This window comes from Homo sapiens, chromosome 3 (genome assembly GCF_000001405.40).
Source record: "Homo sapiens chromosome 3, GRCh38.p14 Primary Assembly".
Lineage (NCBI taxonomy): Eukaryota > Metazoa > Chordata > Mammalia > Primates > Hominidae > Homo > Homo sapiens.
This window is the reverse complement of record NC_000003.12, coordinates 140215279-140225238: the sequence shown is the minus strand read 5'-3', so window position 1 is coordinate 140225238 and position 9960 is coordinate 140215279. Positions and strand designations below refer to the sequence as shown.

The window sequence follows — 9960 nt, the reverse complement described above, 5'->3', positions numbered from 1 at the left end:
AGAAGGACAGGAGTCCTTCTTTACAGGGATAGCAGGGCCCTTCCCATAAAGCAGCAGGTGGGGGAAGGGTGGAGAGTCTGCCCAGATAGCTCTGTGATTGGTGTGAGCCTATGCTCCGAGCTGGGAGGCTGCTGACCCAGATGGCTGGAACTGATGCTCCATTGTGAGTTGTTACTGAATTCACACATAGTGCAACCTGGATGGGCCCAGCATAGACATGTTGGAGGGCTGGCTGGCGCACTTGCTGGTGGAGCAGGGAAAGCCCTTTTCTATGGCTGCCCTTCCTTGGGTTGCTTGGCTTAGGCACAGACCACCTGGTATTTCTTCTTATATTGTGGACTTGCTTTTTCACTAGTCTCTCTAATCTCTAGCTTAGTATTTTCCTTCATGTGTTTCTCAGAACATAGGTCAATGGGAGTCTAATAGGAATTAGCAAACAAGAGTTTTTTGGTTACATAAGTTTGGGGAATGGTGGATTAATCAATGCTAAATAAGTGTCTTTATGGAGGGCTGCTCAGATCCTCTGACACAGGACTGGGCACAGAAGGTCTATATTATTATGTAAGACTCCATGGTTATGACTGATTATATGATTATAATAAAATTTTTATAACCTATTTGACCAAGGAACCTGACTTTTTGTGATGCTTCAACCAGACTAAAGTTCTGTGGGTCACACTTTGAGGACTTTGATCTGCTTGCTTCATGTCTATAAAGCCTGCACGCACATGAACACATAATATAAACTCCATGCTGGCAGGGCTCCTCATTATGTTCCCTGATGTGTCTTCACTGTCTAGGACAGTCCCTGCTCATATTAACTACTCAATAAACACTAGCTAAATGACTAAAAAATAATAACCAGAATATTTATTGAGTTCCAGAAATTACTGTAAACTTTTTCTGTCATTATCTTGTTTGACTTTCAAAATGATCCCAAGAACTGAGTTCTATCGTTACTGTCTTCTGTAGATGAGAAAGTGGAGGATTACAATGGTTAAATGATTCGCCATTGGTCACACAAATAGGAGGGGGCCAGGCTGGGGCTTGAATCTAGATGGATATGACTGCAAAGCCAATGCTGGTAACTGTTCCACTTTATTGCTTCTAGGAAGTAATGGATAAATAAATATATGAATTCAAAACATACCCGGGGACCACTCACTATACTGTAAGGGTATTAGCCTAAGTGGCCTCACCAAAATATCCCATTTCCCAGGGCTAATTCACCTCTGGATGCAGCCTTCCAGAGTTCTCTGGAGAGAAAACACATGTCTAGAACCTTCTTCACTACAGAGGACGGCACACACTCCTGTGGGAACTGCAGCATCACCAAGAACACGAGTCACCTGAAATATTTGACTTGATCCTCATTAAGTTACATGTGAGTCATCTTGAAAAAGTCAACACTGAGCACTGTAGCATTTGGAAGAAAGCAGCCACAGGAATCCATGTTGCAGGGTGGGGACCAGGAGTATGAAGGTCTTCAAAGCAATGAAATAATTGCTATGGTTTCCAAAAAGGAAGTTAGAAGTATTTATTTTAGCACAGTAGACAGAGGCACAGGAAACAGAGTATCAGAAGCTCTCAGCATTTCTAGCTTGTCTGTGAGAGACATCTACCCGGCATTGCAGAAGAAAGGAAACAACAAAACTGCCTAGGAAAATGAATGATGATAGGGTAAAAAGCCGGGTGCAAAAAAGCATTCTAGGATCCTTCTTCGGAAACTGGAAGTGCATCTCTCGGAGCATGCAGAATGAGTGCCCCAGTACCCAAGGACCCCCTTTAGCTCCCTCCAAGGGCTGGCAACAAGCTCCAGGCCTCACAAGGGGCTGGTCCAGGTGCTGGGAGGTGGCTGCTTTGCTTTGCAAGCCCTCTCAACAAAGACTTAGCTAGGCATTGCCCTGCCTTGAGGAAAAGCAGCCTGTGCAGCGTGAATAAACTGTTGATGTTATTAGGGTTGCACCACAATCATAACAAACTTTTCCTTTCTCCAGTTGATGATTTCTCCTGTGATTTGTGCTTGAGCCAAAGATGGAGACTTGTTGCTATCTCCAGGTAAGATGTTGCTTCTGGCCCAAGTGAACAGGGCCATCTGGGTGAGTGAGAAAGACATTTCTTAATCAACATTATCTCAATTCAGTATGGGACATGGTTAAGAAGACAAGCTTTCAAGCCAGATTGTCTGGGTCTGATTCTTAACTCTACAACACCAAGTGTTGTATCTCTGGGTTTCAGTTTCCCCATATCTACAACTGGGATAAAAATGAGGACATTTATTTAAGATTGGGCAAAGATGAAAAGATAGAAAGATATAAGGCATTTAGGAGTAAGGCCTGGCATAGCAGTGTTTTTTTTTTTTTTCTTAAAATTTTAATTTTCAATTTCTATGGGTGTGTAGTAGGTGTCTATATTTACAGGTCACATGACATATTTTGATACAGGCATATAATGTGTAATAATCACATCAGGGTAGTGGGATATCCTTTGTGTTACAAACAATCCAATTATAATTTTAGTTACTTTAAGATGTATAATTAAATTATTTTGGACATAGTCACCCTGCTGTGTTAGCAAATACTAGGTTCTATTCATTCTTTTAAAAAGTTTTTCATTTTTAATTTTTGTGGGTACATAGTAGGTATATATATTTACAGGTTTCATGAGATGTTTTGATATAAGCATGCAATGCATAATAATCACATCATGGAAAATGGGATGTCAATTCCTCAAGCATTTATCCTTTGTGTAACAATCCAATTATATTTTTTTCAGTTATTTTAAAATATACAATTAAATTATTGACTATACTCACCCTGTTGTGCTATCAAATACTAGGCCTTATTGATTCTTTCTAAGTTTTTCTTTTTGTACGAATTAACTATCCCCACCTCCCTTCCACCCCCATCCCTCACTACCCTTCCCAGCCGCTTGTAACCATTCTTCTACTCTCTATGTCCATGAGTTCTTTTAATTTTTAGCTCTTACTAATAAGTGAGAACATGCAATGTTTGTCTTTCTCTGCCTAGCTTGTTTCATTTAACATAATGACCTCCAGTTCCATCCATGTTATTGCAAATGGCAGGATCTCATTCGTTTTATGGCTGACCAGCACCCCGTTTTGTATATGTGCCACATTTTCTTCATCCATTCATCTCTCGGTGGACATCTAGGTTGCTTCCAAATCTTGGCTATTGTGAATAGCACCACAATAAATATGGCAAAACAGACATCTCTCTGATATACTGATTTCCTTTCTTTGGGGAATATATCCAGTAGTTGGACTGCTGTATCATATGGTAGCTCTATTTTTAATTTTTGGAGGAACCTCCAAACTGTTTGCCATAGTACTTGTACTAATTTACTTTCCCACCAATAGTGTATAAGGATTCCCTTTTCTCCACATCCTTGCTTGGCTTTTGGATATAAGTCATTTTAACTGGAGTGAGATGCTACCTCATTGTAGTTTTGATTTGCATTTCTCTGATGATCAATGATGTTGAGCACCTTTTCACATACCTGTTTACCATTTATGTGTCTTCTTTTGAGAAATGTCTATTCATATTTTTTGCCCATTTTTAAGTCAGATTACTACATTTGTTTCGATAGAGTCATTTGAGCTCCTTATATATTCTGGTTATTAATCCCCTTGTCAGATAGATAGTTTGCAAATAATTTTCTCCCATTCTGTGGGCTCTCTTCACTTTGTTGTTTGTTTCCTGGTATAGAAGTGTTAACTGCCACTATTGCTATTCCTGGTCTACATTTCATTATCCAAAGTCATTGTAGCCAGATATGTTCCACAAGTCACTTTTTTTTTTAGAATTTAAAAATGTAATATGGTGTGTGTAATTTATATTATGTAGCACCCTCTGCAAAGTTGAGGGCAACACCCCATAATCAAAAATATTATTTCCACATCTAAACATAGACACGTTCACATTAAGTAAGATAAATAATTTTTTTACCAAATGAGTTTTGGCATTAAACTTAGAAAAACACTTTCTGTTTTCAGAGTTTTATGAAATTTGGATAAAAGATTGTTGACCTGTCTCACTGATACCCCTGCAATGGGTTGCTGTGTCTATACTGGGGAAAATGCCCTCTCTACCAGGGTCCCCTGAGCTTTGCTCCTGGCTGACTGTACAGTGACTAAAAAATAATAACCAGAATATTATTCTGCTATTTCAGCAGCAGAATGTTTCTGCCTAGACCTTGTCTATGAGTCTCCAGCCTGTCGGCTGAGCCTGACAATGGTGGGTGGTCCATGGAAGTCAGGGCTCCAGTTGCAGTATATATTAATACAGATAACAATGTTTAACTCACCACCTAACTGAGAAGCCCAGGACACAGTGTAGGCAAAAGCACTGGGAACACAGTCCCGGGCACATAGAGGCATCTATGAGTTTCACTCTCCTTTCCTTCTCTGCATGAAAACTGCCCTGTCCCCATCACAAATCAGCACAAAATGATATTCAGTCTTGTTCTGTTCTTTCTCTTCACTAAGTTCATGGATGTTTGCTTTTGGACTTTTAATTAGATAGAAAGCATCATGGAAGCAGGTGCCAATCCACTCACATTATCTTTAGAATTTGAAGATATTTCTACTGATTGAATGGAAATGTCTCTTGGCAAATGTGCCTCTGAAAGCATCCAGAATCTCCTTCATGAGTTATTCAGGTAATAATAACAGACATGGTGGATGTGCTTGCTATGCTGCCCAGGCAAGGATGCCTGGTTCTGAAGCTAAAGGCATCTAGACCAACTTAAGACTGAAAGTGGAAACTATAAACTAACCATGGGGCTCAAGAAGGAAGACGACAGGCCAAATTCCAAATAATGGTCCTGCTAATGCCCACAATTCTATTATCCTTGGAACTTGCACTCTCTGCCCCCACCAGCATTACAGGCTAGTGACCAAATACATCACAATACTGACATATATAGGATTGAGATCATTATGCCATGGCATTGGAAGGTGGATGATCTCCACCAGGAGGCACTGTGAGCAGAAAAGACTAAAGACCTTGAGAAGTCCTCCAATCTATGACAGCCCAATTTGCACTAGTGCTGAGACTGAAAGCATTTGATTGTTTTCATTGAGACGTTATTTTGCTGACTGCAGGAAAAGCAGTAGAGGCAGTATAGCATAGCAGTTCAGAGTACAGCATCCAGAGCCTGTCTAGATTTGAACCCAGGCTCTGCCATTTATGGTTGTTGACAATATAACCTAAGCCAGTTCTTCTTCCATTTCTCCATCTGTAAAATGGGGATATTCCTCCTGGGGTTGAAGTGATATGGAATGAGGAAATATGCCCAAAGCTCTTCAAACAGTACAGAAAAGAGAGAGTACTCAGTAAGGCCTCTCTTACTGAGTAAGAGGTAGGTATGATAGCGATGATGCTGTGCCCCACTATTTTACATAGCACATCCACAGAGAGGTGCCAACACCAAACAAAATGCTTGAAAGAAGCAAAGCGTCTAAGGAATTGCCTTCTTGGGGACTTACCTTGCTAAGTGGTTATGCAGGAGGCCCTGCTGTCTCCAATTCCACAGCTGAATCTGCAGCGCTGCCTGGAAGGGCTGGGCGCAATCACTGAGGGAGGGTGGCAGTGGAGAGGAGGCCTCCCACTGTATTTACCAGTCTCTAGGACAGCAAGATACACTCGCTCCGAATGACGAGCAGCAACCACAAAACATTAAAAATACATCAAGAAGAAAAGAACTCCGGAAACAAGATCGCTCCCAGATAAAATGCCATCTTGTTTTCTTAAGGAGCTTTGAATTCTCCGATTTAAGGAACTGTGGTTTGAAAGGTTACCTGCGGGAAATCTGGAGCTTTTAAAGCCCTGGGCTTTAATTAAAACTCACTCACGCGCAACTAATGTGTGAGCCCAGAGGTTCCCTGCCTGCTCTCAGGGAAGGCAGGTCAGAGAAGGTCTTTGATAAGATGAGAAACTTTAAAGTCCTTGGCTGCACATGTGAGGCCCTCTGCACCCTCTTCCCTACTCTTTATGGAAGGCTATGCACCTCACTCTTTAGAAATAAATGCAGCAGGCACACATGTCTCCAACATTCCTGCAGTTCATGTATCATGTATTCCTGCAGTTCGAGCCTTTTGTTTGGATACATGATACATGAACTGCAGGAATGCTCCCAAATGGACCAGGGCGTGGATGGAGTTGATGCCCTAGTTGCATTAAATTCCCAATTATTAAAAACAAAACAAAACAGCTTCACGTGACACCTATAACAACCTCGTGTATGAATCAGACACCACCATTTGGAGATTCCTCTCCATTCAGGTTACGTTCCCCTCTGCTGTCTGTCTACCACTTTTTAATCCTGCCTCACATGACCACATTTGTGAAAGCTGCTTCTATATTCTTGTCCCCCTGGGGGATTCCACATACTCTGTTATTAGAAACAAATCCAAGTCATCATTTCCCTCAACAAATTGTGTCCCAAACACTAACTTCGCTCCAGGTTTCATGGGGCTTTAGTTATTTTATAAAGCTGCCATCTATCTTGAAAGCTTCTTGAGGAGAAAGTTCCTGAGAGCTTAATTGGTCCAAAGCTATGCTTGCTTGACGTACTCAGTATTTTTAAAAATTTGAACTAGTTGCTGATATGTAAAAATCAGGAAGGTTTTTTTTAATGTATCTACTTAGGTTCCTCTTGAAAATCAGACTATCTAACAACAGGGGGTCACAACATTCCAATAAAGCCATGATTGACTGGGTGCTGCTTCTAATGACAACCTGCTATCTCACTTTCTTTCACTTCCTGCTTTGTCCTGGGATGGATCTTTTCAGCTCAAGAAGTAAGGATAATAATAAGTGAGCAAAAGCTTTTTAGTGCCTGGATTATGGCAGAAACACCACCCAAGATCCCAAACAGCTTTGCAACTAAGGGATAGGTAAGGTTGCATCTTTACTTGCATAGCAGAGAGATTAATACAAGCAAAACAAAAGCAAATGCAGTGGCTCGGGAGAGTTTTATTTCTAAATACCAGAATCTCTCAGCGAATCAAGCTAATCATTTTCTTACAAGAATTGGGAAATTTCTGCTGACAGGAGCTTAATAATATAAAATATTATGTTTGAAAAAATGATAGCCATTACATTTTCTCATCAACATTCAGTTTTGTTTTACTTCCTGAGTTCCATCCTTTTGATAAATTCTTAGAAAAGGACCACAGGGTCCTATGCCTGGTCATCCTGCTGCTCATAAATGGATCAGTTCATGTATATTGAGTCATCAAATTAAGGTTTTGAGTGGGGATACAGTTCATTTCAGGGCCACATGAATTGCTAATGTGCTTCTGAGCTGAAGGAAATTAGGTTTGGTTTCTTCCTTCTTTTCTGCTGTAGAGAACCTTTAAAATTTAAACTCATAACTTCCATGCTTCCTCTGCACCTGGCATTTTTTGAATAGTTTCATTTTCTTGCCCAACAATAGTGTTCTGGTTTTCTAAGGCAAATATGTCCCCCTTTGCTCTAGAAGCAGCTGACTGGGAGAAAACCAAAGGGAAGGGAAGGTTATTAGAAGAAATGTGTCATATATGCCACAAATCCTAGGACGTCAACCCTTTCTCAAGACAGCAACCATTTCTATTTCCTCCAGATCTTAAAAAGGTACAGAGACTATCGTAATCATCATATTAAACAAGGATTATTTTGCTTAATACATTTTCCTATTTTTGTCATGAACACAGTAATTAACAAAACTTTTTTATGTGGTGATGTTGAATGATAACCAGTTTTTCCTGGATCTCGGAAAACCATGGAGCAGGTTCATTGTGGGTTGAATGAAGATAAATTCTACAAGAAAAGCTAGTTCTTGGGGGCAGGTTACAGGTTACAGCTCCTTGGGCAGCCATTCAGGACCATAGGTGCTTAGTTACCTTGTCAAATTCTTCTTGGTAGGAGAAAACATCCCCAACTTTGGCACAAAATTGCTTCTAGAAGAGTGAAATAAACCTGTGCTTTTAAAAATAAACTGTTCTCTAAGGATGTGAAACTACACTGGTAGATGTAACCGACCCTCAGCTACAGCCAGAGCAAACTCCTAGGGAAACTGTAAAGTCAGAAGATTTGGGCGTGTGTATCCTCTCCTTCCACAAGAATGTGGGAGTTAAAAAAACTGCACCCTGGAGTCACATCACTGGGATTCAGATTGTACCCTGATCATTTCAGCAGCGTGATCTTGGTTAAGTTACTTCACTTCTCTGGACCACTGTTCTCTCATCTGTAAAATGGGTATAGTAACCATGTCTACTGCATGGGTTTTTATAAGGACTATGAGTTAGTATATGTAAGGCATTTATGACAGAGCCTGGCATATGGTCAATTAAATATGTCAGATTATCTGTGGGACCTCCTTTCACTGTAGTTTCCCAGGTTTTTCTGCCTGGTCTTGTCTGAGTATATTCTTCCTATTTCACATCCATTACCACCAAAACCTAATATCTGTACAAAACTTGGAAGTTTACAAAATGCTTTTGCACTTTACATCTCATATAATCTTCACATCAGCTCCTAGTATTATTTCCCTTCCGTCTGATTTTGGACAACCAGGCACCATTTTCTCTTCTCTATGCTTTCCCTTAAATCACAGGGTCTCAACACCCAAGAACCAAATTTCCTAGCATTCTAATCAGCAACTGAGAGGTTTGGTTTTTTAATTTTTGTAAGAGTCACAGCAAAGAGGCACACGTGGAAAAGCTTAAAGGGGAGGAGAAGCAGAGCACTCATTGCTCCAGAAGCAGTAGTGGGAAGCAATTCCTCTGCCCTCCAGCAGAGGGTAGACAGTGGAATGAGGCCAGCGACATTTGGGCATCCTCCTGAGAAGCCCCCACGTTAGTGCTGTACTTCCTCACCTCCTGAACTAGTGGTGGCTTTTCCTTTCCTTCATCCCTTCTGCTTCTCTAAAGATCTTGTATCCTCTAATTCGTGGTCGCCAATGTTTTGGGCACTAGGGACCGGTTTCATGGAAGATAATTTTTCCATGGATGGGGGTGGGAGGCGGGTTGTTTCGGGATGAAACAGTTCCACCTCAGATCATCAGGCATTAGATTCTCATAAGGAGCTTACAGCCTAGATCCCTCACATGCACGGTTCACAATAGGGTTCATGCGCCTATGAGAATCTAATGCTGATCTGGCAGGAAGTGGCGCTCAGGCGATAATGCTCACCCACCCCCTGCTCACCTCCTGCTGTCCCGTGCAGTTCCTAACAGGCCATGGACCAGTAATGGCCCGAGGCCCCAGGGGTTGGGGACCCCTGCTCTAATTCCCTCTGTGAGATCCCTTTTTGTTTGAAATACCTAGTGTTTCCACTTTCTTAACAAAACCCAAACTAATACACCTACTTTATATTAGATAATACATATTGAGTACTCACCATATGTCAAGCACTGTTTTAAGCATTTTATATGAATTAACACATTTAATCCTTATAACAATGCGGTTTGAAAGGTGGCACTATTACTGTGATTTTTAAAGATAAGGAAGCTGAAACACAGGGAGGGTAAGTTACTTGTGCATGATTATTGCTATGCTCTACTGACTCTCTCCACTATTGCTATACTCTACTGACTCTCTCCACCTACTGAATGTTTACTGTATGCCTGGCATTGTGCTAAATTCTTAAATAAGCAAGGAGTCTCAGGTTTCTCCAAGATTACATAGCTAGTCAAAAGCCAAGCAGGAATTCTCATTCATTTCCAACCCCCTATCCAATGGTTCTTTCTCCAAAACTTCTGCACAGAAACAACTATCATGGGAAAAAAGGACAGATAAATTGCTACAGTTAAAGTGTGTTTGTGAACGAGTTATCTGCCTTTTGTTCTATGTGCTCTTTATGTTTTACCAAAGAAACTGTTTTATTCCAAAGAATGAGCCTGCCATATCCCATTAGGCCCAGGGATAGGTGGGTATTGCCATATAAAACACAAGTA

The 9960-nt window shown here is 40.9% G+C and overlaps 1 protein-coding gene across 2 annotated transcripts in view; it reads right to left on the bottom strand.

Annotated features, from left to right (window-relative positions):
• Nucleotides 1–9960, bottom strand: part of CLSTN2 (calsyntenin 2) — a 642213-nt gene that overhangs the window by 352159 nt on the left and 280094 nt on the right. The gene's annotated exons all lie outside the window — the stretch shown is intronic.